At 46.1% G+C, this 27,094-nt stretch overlaps 1 protein-coding gene across 14 annotated transcripts in view, besides 1 other annotated feature; it reads right to left on the reverse strand.

Annotated features, from left to right (window-relative positions):
* Positions 1-14,537: 14,537 nt before the first annotated feature.
* CALN1 (calneuron 1) overlaps positions 14,538-27,094 on the reverse strand; it is a 724,789-nt gene continuing 712,232 nt past the window's right edge. For all 14 annotated transcript variants that reach the window (XM_017012677.2, NM_001363460.1, XM_017012683.2 and 11 more), the window contains one exon: positions 14,538-22,949. In XM_017012677.2, coding sequence (XP_016868166.1) covers positions 22,822-22,949 — 128 coding nt within the window. In that variant the 3' untranslated portion in view covers positions 14,538-22,821. The remainder of the gene's footprint in view (positions 22,950-27,094) is intronic.
* Positions 15,260-16,081: an enhancer, noted in NCBI's record as "NANOG hESC enhancer chr7:71245198-71246019 (GRCh37/hg19 assembly coordinates)". NCBI's record gives its function as "activates a minimal SCP1, AML or CMV promoter by ChIP-STARR-seq in naive H9 embryonic stem cells {active_cell/tissue: H9 hESC(naive)}" and the evidence as "EXISTENCE:reporter gene assay evidence [ECO:0000049][PMID:30033119]".

The raw sequence follows: 27,094 nt of genomic DNA on the forward strand, positions 1-27,094 counted from the left end.
CAGTGGTGGGAAGGGGTATCCTTGCCTTGTTCCTGATCTTAGTGGGAAAGCCTCATGTGTCTCACCAGTAAGTATGATGTTAGATGTAGGTGTTTTGTAGGTAGTATTTATCACATTGAGGAAATTACTTTTTATTTCTAGTTTACTGAGAGTTTTTATCACGAATAGGTACTGGATTTTGTCAAATGCTTTCTCTGCATCTACTGATATAAACTTGTAATTTTCTTTTTTTTTAACATTTAGAATGTAGTTTATTTAAACACTGTAAATAGAGCCTATAGTAAAAATATTTTATTTAATAATAATAAACTAATTATGGATTTTATTGCTGTCTATGAAACTAGAAATAATAGTTATTGTAATCCTCCCTCCCCCACCCAAAAACCCCACATACTTTTCTCTCAAAAATGTCATGTTGTGAGGCTGAGGATCTGGTGGATGTTGAGAAACTAGAAATGCTTTGACCACACTGGGTCTCCTAATAGCTGGCCATGTACAGGAATAGGTCTTCATCTATAGGTGAAAGGTAATTCAATCTCCTGGTTTGATTTATTTTGGTTTATCATTATTGTTTTATAATTTAAACTTTTATTTTAGGTTCAGGAGGTACATGTGCCGGTTTGTTACATGGGTATATTTCATGAAGCTAATGTTTGGGGTATGAATGAGTCTATCACTCAGGTAGCGAGCCTAGTACCCAATAGGTAGATTTTCAGCCCTGTTCCCCTCCAGTAGTCCCCAGTATCTACCCAATGTGTGGCTCCTACTTATAATTGAGAACATGTGGTATTTGGTTTTCTGTTTCTGCATTAATTCACTTAGGATGATGGCCTCCAGCTGCATCCATGTGGCTACAAAGGACATAATTTCATTCTTTAATGCAGCATAGTATTCCATGATGTGTATATATATCACATTTTCTTTATCCAATCCACCACTGACAGGCACCTAGGTTGATTCCATGTCTTTGCTATTGTGAATAGTGCTGTGATGAACATACGGATGCAGATGTCTTTTTGGTAGAAGGATTTATTTTCCTTTAGGTATACACCCAGTAATGGGATTGCTGGGTTGAATGGTAGTTCATTTTAAGTTATTTGAGAAATCTCCAAAGTGCTTTCCACAGTGGCTGAAGCAATTTACCTTCCCACCAATAAAAATTAGCTTTTCTCTGCAACCTTGCCAACATCTGTTATATTTTAACTTTTGCTTCTTTAGAAAGTGATGTGATGGATTACATTAGTTGATTTTTCAAATACTGAGCCAGCCTTGTGTAACTTGGATAAATTCCACTTGATTGTGGTACATAATTATTTTTACACATTGGTGGATGACACTGGCTAATTCTTTAGAGAATTTCTGCATCTATATTTATGTAAGTTATGAGTTGGTCATTTTTTTCTTGTAATATCTTTTTTTGTTTTGATAGTAGGGTGATGCTGGCCTCATAGAATGAGTTAGGAAGTATTCCCTCTGCTTCAGCCTTCTGAAAGAGATTGCAGAGAATTGTTATAATTTTTACCTTAAATATTGGTAGAACTAACCAGTAAACAAACCCATCTCAGTCTTGTCCATTTCCTCTATGCTGTTATTTTCACAAATTACACCTTTATATTTTATGTGCCCAATTAACACAGATTTATAATTCTTGCTTTATGAGTTGTCTTTTTGGTCAGACAGAAAAAAGAGTTACGAACAAAACATCCATTTATATTGACTTTAGTTTTGCTCGATATAAAATTTTGGTTCACAGTGTTTTATCTCCTTTCAGCATGTTGAATATGTCATCCTAACAGCTTTTGACCTTCTTGGTTTCTGATGAGAAATTAGCTGTTAGACCCAAGCCTGTGTTCCTCAGATGAGGTAATGGAGAGAACAGTGGATATCTCTAGGATAGAGGGCCTCCGAGTCCCCCAAAACCACAGACATGGGTAGTAAAGGAAAGAAAAGGGCACTTATTATGTGAGAAAGGAAAGATGTAGGCCATTCTATTTTAAGCTGGCTGTAGACTCCCCATTGGTTGTAGCTTGGCAGAATTACTATGGTTCAAAAGGTAGCATGTAAGTTAATCATCTGTTGAATTTCTTCTTCAGTCTTTCAGGTTCTGTGGTTATCAGAAATTTTCTTCTCAACTTTTATCTTTGGTTTCCAGTGTTAAATTTTGTCCCTCTATTTGTACATCTTCATGATTATTTTAATGGAAACACAGGAAAGAAAAATAATACATAATAAGAATATCATGAAGCATTTTCATATATATAAGTTGGAGTCTCGCTCTGTCACCCAGGCTGGAGTGCAGTGGTGCCATCTCGGCTCACTGCAAGTTCCACCTCCCAGGTTCATGCCATTCTCCTGCCTCAGCCTCTCGAGTAGCTGGGACTACAGGTGCCCGCCACCACACCCGGATAATTTTTTGTATTTTTAGTAGACACGGGGTTTCACCATGTTAGCCAGGATGGTCTCGATCCCCTGACTTCATGATCTACCTGCCTCGGCCTCCCAAAGTGCTGGGATTACAGGCATGAGCCACCACGCCCAGCCTGAAGCATTATATTTTAACTTCATTTATTTATTTACAGACAGGGTTTTGCTGTGTCACTCAGGCTGGCATGCAGTGGTACAATCACAGCTCATTACAGGCCCTAACACCTGGGCTCAAGCAACCCTCCTGCCCAGCTTCCCAAATAAATGGAACTACAGGTGCACACCACCATGTCCAGCTAATTATAAAGAATTTGTTTTGCAGAGATGGAGCCTTGCTATGTTGTGCAGGCTGGTCTTGAATTCCTAGCCTCAAGCAATCTTCTCACCTTGGCTTTCCAGGTATGAGCCACCATGCCAAACCTGCTTATGTCTTCTTGAATGGCTTTTACACCACAAATACATGATAAAGTAAGGAAAAGCGTAGAGAAAGTTACTACTGATGGAAAAATAGAAGATGGTTCCTGAGAATAGTTGTCCCTCTTTGCTTCATGGAGTGGCAGACAAGAACGGGCTTGTCAGGAAGAGCCAGGTTCTAATCCCTTTGGGTATATACATCTCTGTGGTTCTGCTAAAATATATTTGGAAACTAATCAAGTTGTGTTGTGAGGGTCTCTCATATTTCACATCAGTTTTTACACTAAAGGTTTCTGTCCTGACAAGTGAGTATAAACTGATTCTCAGGTCTTTCAATATGGTGACAGGTGTTAATATGTAGTTACACTTGAAAATGGCTCAATGCTAAGACACTTTCATACAAATTCTGAAGCCTCCAAGCTTGCTGAGAGAAGGCAGGGGCAGTGGTTTTGCCAAAGTGATTCAACTGAAGACATTTTTGCTTTTATTTTTAATTTTTTTTTATTTCCTCCAGTAAAGGAGTTCAAAGCATATTTTATTCTGAAAGTCAAGCAAAGAAAATTCCCTCCAATGACATGGATATTTGATCTTATCCTTCTCAGGCAAGATAAACTATTCTTTGGTGGGGGCTGATACTAAAACTCTTGCCAACATTCTATTTGGGTTTAATAGGATAGATTACCTTAAAGCTTCCTAGAGTCAAAATAAGCAACTAGCAGAGATTGCTGAAGACAGACCTATAAAGTCTCCCAGAAATCATAGAGAAAACTCAAGTTAAGGAGCAAAACCACATAAGTTCAACTTGATTTCAACTCTCACATTTCCTGGAAATCGTGCATGAAAACCCAGGTTTGGCAATAAATCTGTTAAATAATTGAGCTGAGGTCAAGATGAACAATGTGTGTGGTGGGGCAGAGGGGGTCGTGGCTGAGAGTGCAAGTGACCACATTGCTTGGGTGTGCACATTGTTAAAGGGCCTTACAGGAGTTCAAGGCCAGCCTGGGCAACATAGCAAGATCCTATCTCTAAAAAAAAAAAAAGAGTATGATTTTTGTTTTTCTTTTCTTTTCTTTCTTTCTTTCTTTTTTTTTTTTTTTGAGACTGTCGCCAGGCTGGAGTACTGCAACCTCCGACTCCCGGGTTCAAGTGATTCTCCTGCCTCAGCCTCCTGAGTAGCTGGGATTACAGGTGTGTGCCACCACGCCCAGCTAATTTTTGTATTTTTAGTAGAGACGGGGTTTCACCATGTTGGCCAAGATGGTCTCAATCTCCTGACCTCGTGATCCGCCCGCTTCGGCCTCCCAAAGTGCTGGGATGTTTTTCTTTTTTTAATTAGCCAGGGGTGATGGCATGTGTCTGTACTCCCAGAGCTTTGGGAGGGTAAAGCAGGAGGACCGCTTGAGGTCAAGAGTTGAAGGCCAGCCTGAGCAGTACAGTGAGACCTCATCTGTACAAAAATAAAATAAACGTAAATTAGCCAGGCATGCTGGTGGGTCTTAAAGTCTCCACTTTTAGCTACTTGGGAGGCTGATGCAGGAAGATCACTTGAGCCCAAGAGTTCCAGGCTGCAGTGAGCTACGATTATGCCACTGCACTCCAGCCTGGGGGACTGAGCGAGACCCCAACTCTGAAAATGAAATAAATGTATAGAAAGAAAAAGTGGCCTTGAAATGAATCATACTGAACTGAGTGGAGCAATGTTCTTGGAATGCAGTTTTGATCCCACAGCCACTACTGCTGTTTATTTGAACATTGGAAACCACTACAGAGTTTCTCCTTAAATTCTTTGGGAAATCAGTGGATACAAAGGAAAAAATGGCAAAATCAGCAGTAGGATTTCTTTTAATACGGGCAATTGAGGCACCGTGATTTTTCTTTCTTTTCTTTCTTTTTTTTTTTTTTTTTTTTTTTTGAGACAGAGTTTCACTCCATTGCCCAGGCTGGAGTGCAGTGGCTACAATCTCTGCTCACTGCAACCTCCGCCTCCCGGGCTCAAGCGATTCTCCCACCTCAGCTTCCCGAGTAGCTGGGATTACAGGTGCACACCACCACACCCGGCTAATTTTTGTATTTTTAGTAGAGATGGGGTTTCGCTGTGTCACCCAGGCTGGTCTTGAACTCCTGACCTCAGGTGATGTGCCCGCTTTGGCCTCCCAAAGTGCTTGGGATTACAGGCATGAGCCACTGTGCCCAGTCGGCTGTGATTTTTCTCCATGACACTAACCAGTTTACCCTCTCAGGGACGGCTTTGATTTTATTCCCGCCTTCCAGCCTGCCATTGGCATGAAACTCACTCACGTGCCCAGCTCCTCTACAGCCAGGCTGATGCTGGGTCTAAATGATACCAGAGAGCGTGAAGGAAACTGAGCAATTTTCTTGAACACTGGATGAGTCTAAGGTTTGAACAGTGGCAAATACCCAAGACAGGCTGCAGTTTCCTCTCTGGTCAGGAGGTAGAGAGGGAAGGAAGAAGTGGATAAGAGAGGTTTGAATGCAGACTTCTCTGGGTGGGTGCCTTATTCTCTAGTTTATAGAAGGGCAGACAGACTTGTGGCTTGCTTTTCTGCAGCAAAAGCCATACAGCCCAGATATCTCTAGTTGCCTATCTGATATTACCAGCGTGCCCTTAAAGGCATGACTGAAACCAAATGCAATATCCTCCACCTCTCCTGAAACCAGAAGCCTGGAAGCCTGCCAGTAGCACCAAGTAGCCTGGATGTTATACCTGAGTCACTGCCTCCTTCAAGACAGGAGAATCACCAGGGCCCACGGGATCTCCTTCCTCAATTTCTCTTGGGTCCGCCCTGTTCTCTATAACTCACCCTCACTTTCTGAGTTTAGGCCACCCACATTTTCCCCCTGGATCAATGCAAAATCCTCATAACTAGTCTCAGGCAAGTGTGCCAAGCCTTTGGACCTTGGCACACACTGATCCCTCTGTCTGGAATACACTGTCCCCACACTTCCTGATTAACTTTTTTTTTCTTTTTTTTTTTTTTTTTTGAGACGGCGTCTCGCTCTTTCGCCCAGGCTGGAGTGTAGTGGCCAGATCTCGGCTCACTGCAAGCTCTGCCTCCGGGGTTTACGCCATTCTCCTGCCTCAGCCTCCCGAGTAGAGTAGCTGGGACTACGGGCGCCCACTACCATGCCTGGCTAGTTTTTTGTATTTTTAGTAGAGATGGGGTTTCACTGTGTTAGCCAAGATGGTCTTGATCTCCTGACCTCGTGATCCACCCGCCTTGGCCTCCCAAAGTGCTGGGATTACAGGCGTGAGCCACCACGCCCGGCCTCAATGTTTTTGTTTTTGAGACAGAGTTTTGCTCTTGTCGCCTAGGCTGGAGTGCAGTGGTGTAATCTCTAATCTCGGCTCACTGCAACCTCCGCCTCCCAGGTTCGAGCAATTATCCTGCCCTCCCTAGTAGCTGGGATTAGAGGCCCCCACCACGCCTGGATAATTTTGTATTTTCAGTAGAGATGCGGTTTCGCCATGTTGCCCAGGCTGGTCTCAAACTCCTGACCTCAGGGGATCCACCAGCCTCGGCCTCCCAAAGTGCTGGGATTACAGGCTTGAGCCACCGCATCCGGCTCCTGATTAACTTCTTTTCCTGGAAGCTTTCCTGCCTCTCCAAGAATCCTCATACAAAAAGTACAGATGGGATCTGTCTGTGAAGGCGAATTTTATGCATCAACTTGACCACACCACAGGATGCCCAGATTAAACATGTTTTCTGGATATGAGGGTACTGCCAGATGACACCAGCATTTCAATTGGTGGACTGAGTAGGGCAGATTACCCTTCCTAATGTGAGTGGGCATCATTCAATTCACTGAGAGTCTGAACAGAACCTAAAGGTGGAAGAGGAGGAATTTGCCCTTTTTCTTCCTGCCTGCTGAGCTGGGATGTCTCATCTCATCTTCCCCTGCCCTTGGACTGAGATTTACACCATCAGCTCTCCTGGTTCTCAGCCCTTCAGACTCAGAATGGAATTGATACCACGGGCTTTCCTGGATCTCCAGCTTGCAGGGAGCAGATCACAGGATTTCTCAGCTTCCTAAATTGCGTGAGCCAATTTCTCATGATCACTCTCCTTTCTCTGGAGAACCCTGACTACTATAGCATCAATTTCAGGAATAGAGTTACATTCAGAGAGGGAGAGGAAGTGAGAAAGCTAGACTAAGCTGGGGCATTAGCAGCTTCTCTAAGGTTTTCTTTCTTTTCTATTTTTTTTTGATGGAGTCTCATTCTGTCACCTAGGCTGGAGTTCAGTGGCGCGATCTTGGCTCACTGCAACCTCTGCCTCCCAGGTTCAAGCAAGTCTCATGCCTCAGCCTCTGGAGTAGCTAGGATTACAGGTGCATGCCACCATGCCCAGCTAATATTTTGTATTTTTGGTAAAGACAGGGTTTCCCCATTTTTCCCAGGCAGGTCTCCAACTCCTGGCCTCAAGTGATCTGCCCGCCTCAGCCTCCCAAAGTGCTGGAATTACAGGCATGAGCCACCGTGCCCGGCCTCTAAAGTTTTATTTCTTGAAAAAGAAATAGAGCCGAGTGCGGTGGCTCCTGCTTGTAATCCCAGCATTTTGGGAGGTTAAGGCGGGAAGATGGCTTGAGGCCAGGAGTTGAGGACATGCCTGGGCAATATAGCAAGGCTCTGTTCCTACAAAAAAATAATAAAATATTAGCTGAACATGGTGGAGCATACCTGTAGTCCAAACTACTTGGGCGGCTGAGATGGGAGAATTGCTTGAGCCTGGGAGGTAGGGGCTGCAGTGAGCTATGATTATGCCATTGCACTCCAGCCTGGACAATAGAGTAAGTCCCTGTCTCTTAAAAAAAAAGAAAAGAAAAAAGAACAGAAAGAGATAGAGATGAAAATTCAGAAGGAGAGAATGAGAGAGAGATCTCTGTTAAATGTGGGTGATAAGAATGCTGCTGTTATTTTATGTGTTTGAAATATTTCATAATTAAAAATAAAACTTTTAAAATGAGCAATGCTCCCTCTCTTTTATTGCTCTAATCTTGTGTGATGAATCCTTCCATAGGACTTCTGAACCTGGGCTGTTACTTTAGGTTTTCTTGAGTGTTCTTTCTACGAAAATGTAAACTGCCTGTGGGTTGTTTGTATCCCTCCCACATCCTATCAGTGCCTGGCAGATGCTTGCTGGTGACTCGAATGAATCTCTAAGGTGTCTGCTGTGTGGTGAAGGCTGGGGCTACTGGGTGTTGTTGGCAGTCAGCAGATGTGTGTGGAAACCTGCAGAGAGGAGAGAGGAGGAAGTTCTGTAGGGAATTTGGCAGAATCCATCTGGATTAGTCCATTTTCACACTAGTGATAGAGACATACCCGAGACTGGGTAATTTATAAAGAAAAAGAGGTTTAATGGAATCATAGTTCCACGTGGCTGGGGAGGCCTCACAATCATGGTGGAAGGTGAAAGGCACGTCTCATATGGCGGCAGACAAGAGAGAATGAGAACCAAGCAAAAAGGGAAACCCTTTATAAATCCATCAGATCTTGTGAGACTTATTCACTACTATGAGAACAGTATGGGGGAAACCTATGATTCAGTTATCTCCCACTCGGTCCCTCCTACAACACAAAGGAATTATGGGAGCTGCAATTCAAGGTGAGATTTGGCTGGGGACACAGTTAAACCCTATCACCGTCTATTCCAGCCCAGGGGGGTGATGGGTTGAGACTGTGAAGACCTTGGATCCAGCCAGGGGGACTGATGCTGTGGTTCTCAGGGAAGGTGACTGGCTTGTCTCTTGGCCAGAGGAGAGCCCAACTCCATAGCACCAGATGCTGGCTGAAAAGTGCCCTCTGGGACTAGATGAAGAGGCTGTAGATCACCTCCCGTCCCAGCTTATCAGAGAGGATAAAGAATTCCTGGACAGGCCAGAGAAACTAACACAAAAACAAATAAACACATAAACACAGAGCATCCCTGATTTTGCCAAAGGCATGAGAACCAGGGGAAGGAGGATGGGAGGTGGAGGAAATTTTATATTTTAAAAATAAAATATAAAATATACTTTGATATTTATAAAGCACCTGTCCCAGAGAGGAGAGATGGGAAAGCACGAGAATTCTGCACCCCCAGACAATTTGTATATCTGAGCCATGGGATGTCATTTGGTTTGTTCAATTATTTCTTTAGCAAATATTTTCTGAGCACTGTGCTCGGAACAGTGTTAGATGCTGGGAATAAAGTGATGTGCAAAATAAGCTGTCGTGTGGCTAAGGAAGATTATTTCAGCCACGGAGCTGAGGCCATTTGTCCATCCAAGGTCACAGATGAAATGGAGTCTGTGCACAACCTCTCTCCGCCCCACACAGCATGACCCCATGTCCTCCCTTATGTGACAGCACGGTAGACACCTCCAGTGCCCCCTAATCCTCACATTCTGTTTGTTTTGTTTTGTTTTGTTTTGTTTTGAGATGGAGTCTCACTGTGTCGCCCAGGCTGGAGTGCAATAGTGTGATGTCAGCTCACTACAACCTCCACTGCCTAGGTTCAAGCGATTCTCCTGCCTCAGCCTCCTGAGTAGCTGGGATTACAGGTGCCCGCCACCATGCCTGGCTAATTTTTGTATTTTTAGTAGAGACAGGGTTTCACCATGTTGTCCAGGCTGGTCTCAAACTCCAGACCCAGTGATCCACCTGCCTCGGCCTCCCAAAGTGCTGGAATTACAGGTGTGAGCCATCGCACCTGGCCCCACGTTCTGGACACTTCGTCCTCCTAGGAGAAGGCTAGTGGAGAGACCAGAGGCTGGTACTGAAGAGACGCCAGCCAAGAAGAAGCTATTCCATGGGGTTATCGGCGCATAGAGGCTTGTACAGACGGAGGATCAAATATGCAAACCATTCCATGTGGTTCCTGTACGCCAGAGGTTCAAATACATGGAGGGTCAGGTTGGGTTCTCTTTATTCCAGAAGGCTGGGAAGAGTTGAGGCTGAAGGAGACACATACTGAGCCCTTCTCTGGGAGGGTGCACTCATGCCTTGCCTGGCACTGCCTTCTGGGATGCAGGACTTTCTGCTCAAGATACGCGGGGAATAGCAGGGCTCTGCCAGCTGCCCCATCACAACTCGAGGTTCACATATGCACAGGAAGCTCAGCATCTCCATCCCTCCACCTCTTGGGGAATCTTGCTGCTTTTCCTTTCCTTATTGAAGCTGCTGTTTGGGACTTTTTTTTTTTTTTTCTTATGGGGCCTTGGTCTGTCACCCAAGCTGGAGGGCAGTGGTGTGATCATAGCTCATTGCAGCCTCAAACTCCTGGGCTCAAGCAACTCTCTTGCCTCAGCCTCTCAAGTAGCTGGGACTATAGGGGTGTGCCACTACAACTCTATTTATTTATTCATTTAGATGGAGTTTGCTCTGTCACCCAGGCTGGAGTACAGTGGCGCGATCTTGGCTCACTGTAACCTCCACCTCCCAGGTTCAAGTGATTCTCCTGCCTCAACCTCCTGAGTGGCTGGGACTACAGGCGTGAGCCACTATGCCTATTTTTTATTTTTTGAAGACAGGGTCTCACTATGTTGGCCAGGCTGGTCTGGAACTCCTGACCTCAAGCAATCGTCCCACCCCGGCCTCCTAAAATGTTGGGATTACAGGCATAAGCCACCATGCCAGGCTATGCCTCCTTTCTGATGATCCTTCACGGCTTTCTCAAAAGATCCCCACCAGGCAGCCCTTCCTCTGACATTCAAATTCAGTAGGTTTGAGGTGAGCTCTAGGCATCTTTACATGTATAAGGTACCTGGTGATTCTTATAATAATTGCAATTATGTATTGATCTCAATGTCCATCACTGTGCAAAAGTGTTACTAAGACAATGGTCCTTAAACTTGAGGGGGCATCAGAATTACCAGGGGCTTGTGGTTTTGGGCATCGCCAGAATTTCTGATTGCATAGGCTGTGATGTGGCCTGAGAAGATTAACTTCTAACACGTTCCAGGTTCTGCTTCCCTGGGAAGCACATGAGTCAGAAAGAGTAGGAGGAACTCACTGCCCTAGTTCTTCACTCTGTGCAGCTAGAATCACTGGGTGAGCTTTTAAAATCCCTGAGGTCCAGGCTGCATCCCAGGACAATGAAGTCACCCAGAACAATGGAATATCTGGGGGCGGGGCCAAGACAGTGTCAGATTGTATTTTATTTAATTTATTTTATTTTAGAAAGAGTCTCATTCCATTATCCAGGCTGGAGCGTGGTGCTGCGATCATAGCTCACTACAGCCTGGAACTCCTGGGCTCAGAGATCCTCCTGCCTCAGCCTACAGAGTAGCTGGGACTACAGGTGCACGCCTGTACAATTTTTTTTTTTTTTTTTTTGAGATGGAGTCTCGCTCTGTTGCCAGGCTAGAGTGCAGTGGCATGATCTCAGCTCACTGCAACCTCCGCCTCCCGGGTTCAAGTGATTCTCCTGCCTCAGCCTCCTGAGTAACTGGGACTACAGGCGCATGCCACCACGCCTGGCTAATTTTTGTATTTTTAGTAGAGACAGGGTTTCACCATGTTGGCCAGGATGGTCTTGATCTCTCGACCTCATGATCTGCCTGCCTCGGCCTCCCAAAGTGCTGAGATTACAGGCGTGAGCCACCGCGCCCGGCCTACTATTTTTAAAACATTTTTGGAGGAGGGAGGAGGTCTTGCTGTACTGTCCAGGCTGATCTTGAACTCCTGGGCTCAAGTGATCTTCCCGCCTCAGCGTCCCAGAATGCTAGGATTACAGGCATGAGACACTGTGCCTGGTCAACGGTGATATTTTTTAAAAGCTCCCCAGGCAACTGTCATGTGTAAGCATGGTTGAGGACCACTGCCTGGGAGAGGTCTTTGAAGCTCAGCTAACTTCGAGCTACCCTGAGAGCAGAGAAGAAAGATGGGGAAAAAGTGAGAAGCCGAGGTCCCAAGAGCCAAAGTGGGGCTATGAACCCCAGAGAATCTGAGACAGCATGTCATCTTAATATGGCTCCGGAGATTCCTGGTGGTTGGTACCTGCGTCTTTCTTCTTGGTCTTAGGAAACTCAGAAATGAGAGCAGGGTTCTTGCCTGGTGCAGGCAGCCAGGTCCGAGCACAGCTGCAGGACAGATTACCAAAGACCACTGAAACCAAAGGAGCCCTCTGGCCACACACTGAGCTATGCGGGATGTGGAGCATCGCCCCAGGTGCAGAGAACCAGGAGCTACAGGTGTGTACCTGGGAGGCTAGAACATAGCTGTTTCCTGTGCTCAGGGCATGGCCTCATGATTGAAACCTGGGTGTTCTGGGCCGGGTACGGCGGCTCATGCCTGTAATCAGAGCACTTTGGGAGGCCGAGGTGGGTGGATCACCTGAGGTCAGGAGTTTGAGACCAGTCTGGGCAACATGGCGAAAACCCCGTCTCTATGAAAAATGCAAAAAAATTAGCCAGGCAGTAGTGGTGGTGTGCGCCTGTAATCCCAGCTACTGGGGAGGCTGAGGCACAAGAATCACTTGAACCCAGGAGGTGGAGGTTGCAGTGAGCTGAGATCACGCCACTGCACTCCAGCCTGGGAGACAGAGCAAGACTCTGTCTTAAAAAAATAAAGAAGGAAAAGAAACTCAGGTGTCCTGTGTCCTAAAACCAGGGAGTGCAAGACAGAACTTGGCCACAGGTCTGCGGCAGCCACTGCACCGATCCTTTTGTCACTCAAAACAAAGCTCCTTGCTACAGGTAGACCTTCTGGATTCAGCAGAGAATCCACGGGCACAGCTTTCTAACTGCGAATGTGGCTGAACCACAAACCTTTATGTGAAAGAAAAGCCTTTGAATTTCATTTTGCTACGAAATCATGGAAAAATTTCGGCTGGGCGTGGTGGCTGACACCTGTAATCCCAGCACTTTGGGAGGCCAAGGCAGACAGATCACCTGAGGTCGGGAGTTCGAGACCAGCCTGACCAACATGGAGAAACCCTGTCTCTACTTAAAATACAAAATTAGCCGGGCGTGGTGGTGCATGCCTGTAACCCCAGCTACTCGGGAGGCCGAGGCAGGAGAATAGCTTGAACCCAGGAGGCAGAGGTTGCGGTGAGCTGAGATCGCACCATTGCACTCCAGCCTGGGCAACAAGACTGAAATTCCATCTCAAAAAAAAAAAAAAAATTTTTCAATGGGACTGAAAGGTAGGTTCACATCTTAAGGGAGAATTTTGTTTTTCTTTGGACGTTATCCAGTTTGGGCCCACATTGGACAATGAGTCTTTGGGGTTCATTGTCCTCATCTCAGTGTGTCAGGGCTCGGAGACACTGAGTTCTGTGGTCAGTGTTCTGGTGAGCAGTTTGTTATACAGGAAACTCCTGGGGTGAGTTGCCGGGGAAAAAGAATATTCATAACTAGGTGCTAGATTATAATAACAAAAATGAAAAACGGCAGATCAGAGAGGATAAACTCTAAGTCATCATCTCCCTGGAATTTTCCAGAGGCCTTTAATGGAGTGAAAAGCATAAAGAAAAGTGTGCTTTATGCCTGAAACATTCTATTTTTAGGATTTTTAAAACAATAACAGATGCTTAGTGAATTCACCTCATAAGCGACCCCTGAGAAGGTATATAAAATGGAATATTTAAAACAGGGTGCCCGAGAGGACCCTGGAAGATCCAACCCAATGGGAAACTCAGTTTTTTGGCTAAAAACAAGGCATCTGGAAAAATGTGAGATAACATTTTTGAGAAGTGAAGAAAATATGAGATGCTTCATGGTTCTTGGAAACAGGAGGCCAAGTTCTGGTCCAAATTTGGGCAGTGAACCCGTAGTCACAGCTAGTTGGGAGGCTGAGGTGGGAAGATCACTGGAGCCCAGGAGTTTGACACCAGTCTGGGCAATAGAGTGAGACCTTGTCTCTGCCAAAAATTAAAAATAAAAATAAGCTGGGTGCTATGGGATGAGCCTGCAGTCTCAGCTATTCAGAAGACGAAGGCAGGAGGATCACTTGAGCTCAGGAGTTCAAGACCAGCCTGGGCAACATACTGAGACCCCCATCTCTAAAAAATTTTTTTAAATTAACCATTCATAATGGTGCCCACTTGTAGTTTCAGCTACCCAGGAAGCCGAGGTGGGAGGATCGCTTGAACCCAGGTGTTCGAGGCTGCAGTGAGCTATGATTATACCACTGTACTTCAGCCTGGGTGACAGAGGGAGACCCTGTCTCTAAAAAAAGAAAAGAAAAGAAAAGAAATTTTGGGCATGATCTCAGCTAGTGCCCTTAATCAAGTCACTTAACTTTGTCATACCCTGCGTTTCCTTATTTAAGGAAATAGGTGTCTTTTTCTATTTCCAAGAAGCTCAGATAGCATTAAAAATTCCAAAAGCTTAAGTAAAAGCTATGCAATGCCTTAACGTAATGTTGAGAAGAATCTGGCAAACAGAATCCCAAAAGGATGACACCATTAGCTTGGGTGTCTACAAAGTTTTAAAAATTATAATGTCTGCTCCCTAGCCAGAAGACACTTCATAATTCTCACCATATGTTCCACAGTCCACTTACTTGCCCTAACGCCAGTCATCTCTCTTTAGCATCCCAGCAGACAGTGAGATCCCAAGGCTGCTTTCTCACCTGTGGCTTCTTGGTGATGCCAGGCTGTCATTGAACAGAACTGGTTGCCCTTTGGGGTCCCAGGAATGAGTCTCCTGACCCATTTGTAAATCAAACCACACATAATGAATGGAATCTCTTGTCAAAAGAAAAAAAAACTTTTATTTTTTCTATTGCATAAATAATGGTAAATTAGACTCTTTTTATACAGATTATATATTTACAGACAAGTTCGGTTAAAGAAAACATCTGGTAAATATGGCAGTTTTCCTTTATACACTAAGATAACATATTAATAATATATACTTCATTTGATCGGTAAGTTGCATGCTAAGTTAATTTATATTAATATGTACATTTTATATAAAGATTCTTTTTTGACTAGTCTGCTGACTTTCTCATCACTTAATAGCAGAAATCATCAACTAATACTGAATGAGAGAAAATGGGATGCTAATGAGGTAAATGGGAAGATGGTGATTGATGAGTTCCGTCTTAGTGGCTTATTCTGGATATGAGAGCTGCCAAGCTCCAATCGTCCTGGCCATGATCAATCCCCAGCTGTGCTTCTATTTACACCCAACATATTGGGGGCAATATACAAAATACAGTCATTTACTACTGTGCTTTGAGAGACAACTCACGTCCCAAGTCTAATGACCGCTACGATCACAGCGACCCCTCCTCCCCATCCAACAGTTGACAGTTCACCAACCCAATGCCTGGACAGACTTTCTGAGTCTAATTTTTCTCCAAAGTCATTGTTTTTGGTTGGTCCTTGGAGAAAAAGCTTCTTCCTGGATTCAGAACTGGGGAAGAAAATCAGACCCCAATAAGGACCCCTGAAAGCTGATTTTGAGCTAAGAAAGAGAAAATATGCTTTAATTTTCCTTGGAGAGAGTTGAGAGCCACTGGCTTGTGCAACTCTCCACCAGGAGCTGACAGGATCCTTTCTTGGCCAATCTAGGTCTTTCCCAGGGAGAACAACAGGGCTTGTTAGAAAAACAATTACTGGGACGTCAGTCTACTTTAGGAAGAGGGAAAAAGAACAAGAATCTAGGGTTTTATGTTGCCTGGGGCAGAAGGGTTAGAGACTTGTGGATCCTGCAGCTGCTCTCTTCCTGCCCTCTCTCCCTGGTCATGGGTGGGCCACATCAAAAGCAGGCACCGCTCAGCACTCAGCATCCCTCATTAGCCATTTAAAGGGCTGTCGCAGGTAGCCGGTCCCCCGCGACTGTTAATCTAATTCCTCACAATCACCAAAGATCACGACTCTCTTCTTTCTGGGGTATTAGGAATAATTACAAGCTACTATCAACATATACTGGAAGTGCTGTTATAGTGGCCAGAAAAAAAAAAAAGCAAAGAAAGAAATAACTGGAAATTGTGCTCTTTATTCAGTAGCTTTCAGTAAGGCTTTCTCAAATGGAGAAACAAGCATCTCTTCTTGGAATCTGCCATTGTTTCCTCCAACTTTCTCCTGAATTCTGATTCACATGACCTTTGGGGAGGTGACTGACTCCCTTTATTTTCACACTTGCCAAGACAGACAGAAAGCTCATCTTTGATGCTCCCTCGAGTCAGCAAGTCCTTAGAGAATAAACAAAACCTCTTGCCTGCAAGCTGTGACACATTTAACATACACCAATTTGCATTGTTTCATTTACAGACAGCGGACACCAAAAGAGAGACTTTATCACAACTGCCTCTTGGGACTTGTGTTCAAAAAGGAGCTCCCAGTTCCTAGTGCAATTCATGGGTGAAATCCAGACCCTCTCAGTAGGGAGCATTCACTCCATCTTGTTTCAGACAAAATAGATGGGAGGGCTTGTCTGGTTTACTTTTCCTCTGGCTTTAGAGAAACCTGAAGCCAGGGAGGAATGTCACTCAACATAACCTAGATAGTGGGTGGAAGAGTCCTGGCTCCTGGGCTTTCTCCAGCTGGTAGTACCGTCCACACTTTGAGTTCTTTCTTCTGCTCTCCTGGCCTCAGTTTAACAGGTCTGAGAGCCCTGAGAGAGGCATTCTGGGCTTGACAGATGTCAGCATCCTCCCAGGAATGGCGAGCTACCAGCCTGCTCTTGAAATGCACAGAGCCTTTCGTGTGGATCAGACTGATGGGCAGCCCCATGGCACTCAATGGCCTGCATGTTTCCAAAGTAGGCCAGCGATCCAGAGAAGACCTTCAGAGGACAGCATCTGCAGCCCTTTAAGAACTTTCTTTGTCTCCCTCAGGTCCAGGGATGGAGCAATATCGCAGTTGCACCTTGCATTCCCTGGAATATTCCTTCCTAATTAGCCTGCTCTTCTATCCCACTGGAAAATTCCAGCCTCTGCATCCTTTCCACTTGGACAATAACTTCTAACAGTGCGAGAAACACTAGTTTGAAAGCCAACCCATCACACCTGAGGAAAAGAGATGGGTGAGTCTATGCCCGGCATGGGGGTTGTGCTCAACTGATGAACTACCCCAAGGTCAGGGTAGGGGCAGGTGGCCGGGCAAGCTTTTCCACTTTCAGAGGACTGTCTTGTGGGTGGGACTGGAAAAACCTCATTCTTTGTGATATATTTCCAGTCAACGGAATAAAATTAATTTTGCCTTGGAGACGTTTTGAACAGTATTGTCATGTCTCTCGAGACCCTATGAAGAGTCCCAAATGAATATGAAGGAGAAACCACAGCTGTCAAAATGACCATATGCATTAGCAATGACCATAGGATACTAAGAGAAATGCTTGGCTTGTTGGTGTAATTGATCTCATTGCTCCAAACCAATCATAGAGGCTGGATATTTGTTCCCCCCAAATTTCATGTTGATCTCCAGTGCTGGAGGTGGGGCCTGCTGGGAGATATTTGGGTCATAGGGACAGATTCCTCATGAATGACTCGGTGCCCTCCCTGTAGTAATGAGTGAATTCTTACTTTATTAGTTCATGCAATTGCGGGTTGTTAAGAAAAGGAGACTGGCACCTCTTCTCCTCTCTCTTGCTCCTGTTCTTGCTGTGTGACGTGCCTGCTCCCCCTTCACCTTCCACCATGGGTCAAAGCTTTCTGAGGTCTCACCAGAAGCCAAGCAGATGTTGATACCTTGCTCAAACAGCCTGCAGAACTGCGAGCCAAATAAACCTCTTTTCTTTATAAATTACCCAGTGTTAAGGTATTCCTTTATAGCAATGCAAAACGGACTAACATACACCTATTTATGGCAGGGCCAAAAAATTGAGGACAATCCCGAGTGACTTAGTCAAAGCAAGTATGAAGTGAAGCTGAACAGTTGTGACACTCAAATTATCATGGAGACTGGGTCGGTAAGAGGCAGCCCAAATTCTCCTCTATGTTGCTGTCACTTTAAATAATTTAAATTGAAAAGTCTTAGCTGGTGAATAATGTTTCTTTTTTAAAATTATTTTTTGAGATGAAGTTTTGCTCTGTTGCCCAGGCTGGAGTGCAGTGGCGCGATCTCAGCTCACTGCAGCCTCCGCCTCCAGGGTTCAAGTGATTCTCCCTCCTCAGCCTCCAGAGTAGCTAGGATTACAGGTGCCCGACACCATGCTTGGCTAATTTTTGTATTTTTTTTTTTTAGTAGAGATGGGGTTTCACCACGTTGGCCAGGCTGGTCTTGAACTCCTGATCTTAAGTGATCCACCTGCCTTGGCCTCCCAAAGTGCTGGGATTATAGGTGTGAGCCACCGCACCTGGTCCTTAATGCTTCTTTTCTATTTCAGATAGATTCTCCCCTTCTGGGGCAGTTGAGCAATCAGGTGTGGAGGGAAGATGGCTATGGTAAGGCCTTTAGGTTACGGACTCTTAGCTCCATGGGGATCACTGAAGAGGCCAATGAGAATGTTCTGATTTGAGGTCTTTTAAGACAGATGTTCTTCAGGGGTTGCAGCTCTGCAGACCTCCTGGTTATACAACCAGGATGTGTGACGTGCTGAAGTCTAAAAGTTTCATCTCAGTTCATCTGTACCATCACGGTGATATAGGAAAAGGGGCCCTTCCTAGCAGGGGAATTCCAGACCCCCCCTGTTATCTTGGTGAAATGGTAAAAAATGTAATGACTATGGGCCTTTGGAGAAATAGTGTGGCAAAATGACCCAATAGGGTTTGAGACCTGCAGTTAGGAGGAGCAGAGCTTAGCAGCTTCTGCAAGGAAGGAGAGCAAGGACACAGTAAACACAGATCCCAGGACATGTGACCACACGTGGCCAGGCCAGCCCAAACCAGGGAGCTGTCCTGGGTGGTTGCATCCTTCATTTTCTGTCCATGCCCTCATAGGGCCTCAGGGAAACTGCTAGATTTAGGTGAAGAGCAACGTGCAAAACTGTCTTTGATTTATGACCTGAGTCTGGACTTAAACCGAGTACGAGGCATTTGGAATAAAAGGTAAACTTTTCTCTCTCAGTTCTGAAACATATCGCTTTATGATTCTATGAATGGGAAGTTGGGAGGGGCATTATTGTCAAAAGCAGCTGTCCATTTTTCATAGGCTCTTTTGGATAACTGCAAGATCGTAGACCATTTGTCAAGTGAGATTTGAGACAGGGCAGGTATTGAGAAAGAAGACTCATAAGACACATCTTGTTCTCTGCAAATAAAACACCCAGACATTTCTGAAACCACTGGGTTTGCCTAAGACCACACCTAAACCTCAGTTCACCAAAGTTCACGTGTTTGGCTTGCAGGAGTGTGCTCAACAGGCAAACCGATACTTTTAAAGATTGGAGGCTTAATATCTTGTTTGCCTTCCAAGATGATATTTCTGTCAATTTACCTAGATTAAGGGGTCCTGGCTCTGGACCCTGGGAGAAGGGGCTGGGAGTAGGGATGGGGAGATACCAGGGCTTACAGGTAGCTCCTGCTCTCCTGAGTAAATAGAAGGACAAGTTCAAATGCCAGACAAAAAGGCAGAGATACCACCCAGATTCTTTAAGGGTAATTGCCTCTCCCAGCAGGATACAGATGCAGAGAGTCAGGTTGCACTCAGGCTGAATTGGAGTGTTCTTTAAGAAAATGTTCCCTATTTTTGTGTGCCTTGGCAAACTCAGGGTGGAATGCAAGGGTTGCCATGGTAATATCCCTCTTTTTTTTTTGTCAGATCAGTCACGTGGGACCCAAGCACATTCTGGAAGCCATTGCTAATAGTCCCGATGCTAGATTCTGTCTGGGGGCTTTGTGGGTATCTGGAAAGGTGGGGCGCAGCTTCTTTGGGGATCAAGGGGGTCAGGGTCCATTTCCCCTTCTCTCCCAAGGAAAATGCCTTCTTGCTCATCACTTGTGCTTTCCAGGGGGGCGGCGGGGGGTACCTGCTCTTGCAGCAAGAATGAGCCAACCTGTGTTTGTCAATCACTCAGCCTCCACACAGTTGGGCAGCCAAGGTCACTGGTTCCTAAGTCCGGAGGACAGAATGAGGGGTGAGCTATTCCCTCTCAATTCCTGCGGAAGTCACTTCCAGCTGGGGCTACATGGCATCCCTTGGGCATGGGAGACCAGGACCTTCTGGAATCTTCAGCCGTGAGCTTCATAGCCACCATGATGGGGACACTGACTGGCATGGGGCCCTAGCATAAAATTTGTGTGAACAGGGCTGGGAGTTGGCTGCCTGACAAGGAAGGCTTCCCTATACCCAAGACAAACTGTCCAAGCAAAGCAGCCAGGGTGCAAGTCACCGGGACAAACTCTGAGCTCCTGAAGTCTAAGGAATGCCGCTAGCTCAGGGCCGTCTCCACGCACTGTGTCCTTCAGTCCCTGGGTGCCACATGGGGGGTTACCACAGTGGGAAGATAACTCCTAGGCTGTCAGAAAGAATTCTGTGTCTTCCTTCTTGCCATCTCTCTCTAGCAGTCTGCAGAGGAATGCATTCTCCTAGATTTTCCCCTGGGGAGGGTGGGCTTGCTTCCAGGTCACTGGGAGCAAGAAGAAGGTCACCGTTAGGAAAGGAATCCTGCAGCCTTTCCAGAAAACAGGATGGCGGCGCCTCTCCAGAACTCCTTTTCCTCCCTACTCCTGCACAGTGGCTAATCTCTCTGCCAATGAAATCTAACCCTCACCTCTTGAAGGGTCTCTGTTCTCCAGCAGGAGGCAGAAGAACTCGCAGAAAAGCCACCTTCAAAGAAGTACTCATTTTCTGCCCTGAAGACCAGCCTCAGCTGCAGCATTTCAGTCCCCTCTCATGGAGGAGGGGGCTTTGAAGAATCATCCCTGGGGTTTCTACCCAGTCTACTTAGGGTCCTGCACCCCTATGGATGTGGTTGGGTGGTTCGGGGGTCAGGGAAAAACAGGAAAGTATATCCCTTCAAGATCTGCTATGCCCTCCCATCTAAGTCCAGATGGGAGAGGGCAAACTGCCCAGGGCAGAGATTAAGGATGAAGTTGTTCGATGTATTAATATTCTGCATTTGGACCGGTTCTAGTTGAGAATTCCAATCCTAAGGGGACAGTGGTGAGTCAGCCAACAGGAGCAGCAGAAGGGGCAGGCATGCAGTGTGCAGGCAGCAGGGCAGGTAAGGGGGAAAGGCAGGTTGCTGCCTCCTTGGTCTGGCCTTGCTGGGCTGAACTCCAGGAAGTTTTGCAGAGGGACCTGTGATCCCCCAGGCTCTTGGGAGCTTACATCTGCTCCCTCCTCCATATTATGGCTGAAGCCTTAGTTTTACTTGTGCTCATCAGGAATATTCATAGTCTCCCACAGAGGGAAAGTTTCTACAGCTGCCCTCAGGCTGTTGCCAGTAGCACTTGCAGAGGTGAATGAGAAAACTTTCATTGGAGACCTTGGGTGCTCCAAGTCTGAAAAGGCAGTAGGGAGAAAGCTGAGCAGGAAGACAGGGAGGGAGATCAGGAACACACAACGCACCAAAAAATCCTACCCACTGCATAGAGACAAGAAAGCTTCTGGTGGCTCGCTACTGGAAGGGGGGAAGCATGTAGTTTTAGGATGTAATCAAAAGAAGTAGGAGCAAGGTAATTCCATTACAAAATAAAGACCTGAGCTTGGAAAAGTACAAAGGGAACTATTACATCTAGAGATTACTGGCTAATCTGACTACACAAGCTTGAATTCATAGTAGTGGCTGACATCTAGGAAAAGTCAGGAAATTACAGACTTGGAATGGTGTTGAAAACAGATCCTTGGATTCAGTTCTCTTCCCCAACGAAAAGTATTCTGCAGGCAGGAGTAAATTACCTGTTCTGTTGGCTAAACTCATAAACATCTTTTCCCCCAACCTCCTGAAAATGAGTCAGTTGCAGAATCTGAAGGCCAGAAGATCTTATGTGAAAATACAGTCGTTTGATCTCTCCATCTTTCCATTTTGGATTGCATTTCTCTTTTTAGCTGGGGAAGACTAACAAAGCAAACTCCAAGGTAAGGGAAAGGTAAGATGCACAAGGACCTTAACTTACAAAGGTCATCCGGCATAGAGACGTGGTGGGTCTCCATGACTCCAGATGGCTGGGTGTGGGTATCAAAACCTCACCGCCAGTCCCAGTCCCCTCCCCCCTCAACCTGCCTCACCCCTGCCCCAAAGAAGCAGGGATGAGTGTGGGAGGGAGGACAAGCTTATATTAGGTGTAAGCGATTAGGGAAGAATGACATCACACACGAAGAAGCCAAATATATATATCTGTCTATGTTATAGAGATGCCCACGATTATGCTTCTTTTTTTCTCTAATGGCAGCACAGGCGGCAAAGCTGGGAGAAAGGCTCTCTGCAGGTTCCAAAATGCTGGTGCGGGATGGGCTCTAGGAACAGAAAGCCAAGTGCCGACGGAAACTGAGAGCACCCCAGCTCTACCAATGGCAGTCCTCTAGAAAAGGCAGTAAGAACGGAAGCGGTGAGGGGTGCAGCTGAAGACCGCCAGGGCTGCACCCCACTTAATGGCTTTCCCCTCATGCCTTGGGGGGGTCTCCACTGGGTGGAGGAAGGAAGCCAGGGTGGGATGGAAAGCCCCCTCTTCTGTGGCAACCCTGAAGTCAGCCTCTTGGAACTGAGGGTTGACCTCAGCAGAGAGTCTCCTGTTGACCCTTGGGTTGAAAGAATGGGGAGTGGAGGTGACTGTGTGTTCATGCCTCTCTCTTGCTCTCTCACCATTATACCTGGATGGCTGCTGGAATTCCGAGATGAAGATGAAGTTTTTCTCTAGAGTTATGACTGATGGTTGAAGCAATAATTTGGAAATCCTGGCGATTTATTGCATTAGAAAACAAAACCATTAAAGCACTGAAGACAGCCCTTTAGTGTCCCTGCCAAGGAGATGAAGCTGAAGTGCAACCCCAGTTGCACTCAACCTTGGGTTCTTTACTGAACGGTTCCATCGTCCGCATCCATCCATAGTCCATAGGTCCGTGTCTGCTGTGTGGAGGAAGAGTCTGCCCGCACGGCATGCACATGCGCGGTGAGCTGCAACACAGTGTGGCTGGCGGGAGGCTGCTACTCCATGCCGCTCCGGAGTATCTGGTTGGCTGCAATCAGCATGACACTGATGATGAAGGCCATAGCAAAGGCGCATATGAGGCTCTTCCGGACGCAGGTCTGTCTGTTCTGCTTCTGGGAATGCACTGGTGGTGGGAGAAGCAGGTGTGGGAAGAAGGAAGAGGGGTTGGGAGAAGAGAGAAGAGAGAAATAACACAGTGAGATAGGTTGCAACTCTTCCTCAACAGGCCAGCAGTGAGTCCTATAGGATGAGACTGGTCAAATCAAGTTGACAGGCATTTATGGGACCACTGCCATGGAGACTGCATAATACAAAATGCCTTCTGGTGAAAGGTATGAAATGAGAAAACTTCTATAACAAGAATCATGATGGATGTGATGATCAGAGTAAGGCCTAAATTTTCTGATAGAATAGAGCCAGAGTGACTTTCAGAGCCCGGAAATATGGGACATTCCAGGGTGAGTTTCATAAAAGACATCATCCAGTGACTGCTGTATCCATTTCTGCAGCTGATACAAACAGAGTGGAAGTTCAGATGCTTCCCTACACCTCTGTGATCAGCTGGGTGCAACTTACCTTTCCTGGACGTTTTCTTGGGTTTTGCTAATCACCATAAGTGACTTCTTGCATTATTTCAGACATACACATAGTGGTTCTACAGTGGGGTCGTTGGACAAGCAGCATCCCCATTACTAAGAGGTTTTTTTTTGTTGTTTTTTTTTTTTTTTTTAGAGAAAGTGTCTTGCTCTGTCTCCCAGGCTGGAGTGCAGTGGTACTACTGTAGCTCACTGCAGCCTTCTTAACCTCCTGGGCTCAAGCTGTCCTCCCACTTCAGCCTCCTGAGTAGCTGGAACTACAAGTGTGTGCCACCGTGCCTAATTATTATTATTTTTTTTGATACTGGAGTCTCTCTCTGTCACCCAGGCTGGAGTGCAGTGGCATGATCTTGGCTCACTACAAGCTCCACCTCCCAGGTTCATGCCATTCTCCTGTCTCAGCCTCCTGAGTAGCTGGGACTATAGGCGCCCGCCACCATGCCCGGCTAATTTTTTGTATTTTTTAGTAGAGATGGGGTTTCACCACGTTAGCCAGGATGATCTCGATCTCCTGACCTTGTGATCTACCCGCCTTGGCCTCCCAAAGTGCTGGGATTACAGGCGTGAGCCACTGCGCCTGGCCGACTAATTTTTTTAATTTTCATTTTTGTAGAGATGGGGTCTTGCTATGTTGCCCAGTATAATCTCAAACTCCTGAGCTCAAGCCACCCTCCTGCCTCTGCCTCCCAAAGTGTTGGGATTACAGGCATGAGCCACCATGCTTGGCCACTGGGAGGTTTTTGAAAATGCAGATTCTTGGCCAGGTTTGGTGGCTCTCATGCCTGTAATCCCAGCATTTTGGGAGGCTGGGGTGGGCAGATCACCTGAGGTCAGGAGTTTGAGACCAGCCTGGCCGACATGGTGAAACCCCATCTCTACTAAAAATACAAAAATTAGCTGGGTATGGTGGCACATGCCTGTAATCTCAGCTACTTGGGAGGCTGAGGTAGGAGAATCGCTTGAACCCGGGAGGCAGAGGTTGCAGTGAGCTGAGATCAGGCTACTGTGCTTCAGCCTGGGAGACAGAGCGAGACTCTGTCTCAAAAAAACATGCAGATTCTTGTCCAGCCCCCACCCCAGATTTGCTGCATCAGAGGCTCTGGGAGTGGGGGTCCCCATCTGTGTTTAACAAGCCCTCCGTGAGATCTTGGATGCTGCTGAAGTTGGGGAAGTGGGGATTGCTTGCTCTGGGCAGCACCAATGTGAAGATAGGGGGGCACCAAACTCTCTTAGACATGCCAGAGGCAGGGTGTCCTGCCTCCAGATACCACGGCCCCACAGGGTTTACTTTGGGTCTAGGGGTTTCGTTCTCTTAATCTTTCTGTTGTGCCAGGTCTTGCACTTTCATTTTTATAACGCCCATGAGAAACCATGTATAGGTCTCAATCAAAAGGCATGAATTAGCGGATATTAATATGGGCCAGAAACAGATAAATGGAAATAACAAGAAAAAGCATTAGCCTGTAATTGCAGCACTTTGGGAGGTCAAGGCAGGAGGATTGCTTGAAGCCAGGAGTTTGAGACCAGCCTGGGTAACATAGAAAGACCCTGTCCCTACAAAAAATAATAAAAAAAAAATTTAGCTGGGTGTCGTTGGTGCATGCCTATAGTCCCAGCTAGTTGGGAGGCTGAGGCAGAAGGATCGCTTGAGCCCAAGAGCTCAGGGCTGTGGTGAGCTGTGGTCACACCACTGTATTCCAGCCTGAGCCACAGAGGAGTGAGACCCTGCAGGAGAGAGAGAGAGAGAGAAGAAAGAAGAAAGAAGAAAGAAAGAAGAAAGAGAAAGAAAAAGAAAAAGAAAGAATCAAAGAAAGAGAAAGAGAGAAACAAAGAAAGAAAGAAAGGCAGGCGAAAGAAAGAATGAAAGAAAGGAAGGAAGAAGAAAGAAAGCAAGAAAGCAAGCAAGAAAGAAACGAAGGAAGGAAGGAGAAAGAAAGAAGAAAGAAAGAAAGAAGGAAAGAAAGAAAGAAAGAAAAGAAAGAAAGAAAGAAAGAAAAGAAAGAAAGAAAGAAAGAAAGAAAGAAAGAAAGAAAGAAAGAAAGAAAGAAAGAAGCAAGCAAGCAAGTGGGCTTTGATGAAGTGCATCAAGGATCCCAGGCATTGCATTACCTAAGGGGAAACTGAGTGGATGTCAGAATGTCTTTTCCATCTCCTCCTCCTTTTCCTCTACACTTTCTCCCTTGCTGTCTGTCCTGCAGTTGTGCACGGTTCCCCAGATAGCTTAGAGGAGACATCTGTGCCCTTGAGGTCGGCAGGAAGCCACCTACTCCAGAGCAACTGGCTGAAACAGCAGCACCAGCGCCAGCTGAGAGTTTGATACAAATGAGATTCTCAGCCCTATTGCAGAATTACTGAATCAGACCTCTGGGGTGGAGGTTGGGAATTTGTGTTTTAATAAGCTCTCCAGGCAATTAAGCAATTGCTAGACATCCACTCGGGAGTTTCTGATTCAGTAGGCCCGGAGTAGGATGGAGCTGCCGGGGACAGGAGGGGTGTGTGTGTGTGTTGTTGGGGACATGAAATCAGGGGTGTTGAAGAAGATGGCTCTTTACATTCAGCTGTTAAAGAAGACTGCGTAGCAAAAGAAAAAGGTCAAGGTTGTGTTCACATGCCTTTAGAGAATATAAAAATCACTCAAGCTCAACTACCTCTCTCCCTTGATGTGAAGTGGCTCATCCAAACTCCTGGTATTAATACCAGGTAAGAAGTAGGAAGCTGGCCATATTTCCAAAGGCAAACAGAATTTTCTCCAAGAGAAAGGGTCCCAAGGGCTTGTCAAAGGATCTCTAAAAATGGCATTGATCTTTTTTATGGCTGTGTAGTATTCCATGGTGTTTATGTACCACATTTCCTTTATCCAATCTACCATTGATGGCCATTTAGGTTGATTCCATGCATGTGTCTTTATGGTAAAGCAATTTATGTTCCTTTAGATATATACCCAATAATGGGATTGCTGGATCGAATGGTAGTTCTGTTTCTAGCTCTTCGAGGAATCGCCACACTGCTTTCTACATCCTTTACAGGAACATTAATGGTGCTGGAGGCCATGATCCTTGGCAAACTAACACAGGAAGAGAAAATCAAATACCGCATGTTCTCACTTACAAGTGGGAGCTGAATGATCAGAACACATGGATGCAAAGAAGGGAACCACAGACACTGGGGCCCACTTGAGGATGGAGGGTAGGAGGAGGGAGACGAGCAGAAAAAAATCACTATTGGGTTCTAGGCTTAGTGCCTGGGTGGTGAAATAATCTGTACAACAAACGCCTGTGACACGAGTTTACCTACAGAACAAACCTGCACATGTATCCCTGAACCTAAACTAAAAGTTAAAAAAATGGCATTGAGGCCGGGCACGGTGGCTCACGCCTGTAATCTCAGCACTTTGGGAGGCCGAGGCGGGCGGATCACAAGGTCAGGAGATCGAGACCATCCTGGCTAACACGGTGAAACCCTGTCTCTACTAAAACATAGAAAAAAATTAGCCGGGCGTGTTGGCGGGCGCCTGCAGTCCCAGCTACTGGGGAGGCTGAGGCAGGAGAATGGTGTGAACCCGGGAGGCAGAGCTTGCAGTGAGCCGAGATCGCGCCACTGCACTCCAGTCTGGGAGGCAGCGAGACTCCGTCTCAAAAAAAGAAAAAAAAAATGGCATTGAGCAGGAAGGTTT

This window comes from Homo sapiens, chromosome 7 (assembly GCF_000001405.40).
Source record: "Homo sapiens chromosome 7, GRCh38.p14 Primary Assembly".
Lineage (NCBI taxonomy): Eukaryota > Metazoa > Chordata > Mammalia > Primates > Hominidae > Homo > Homo sapiens.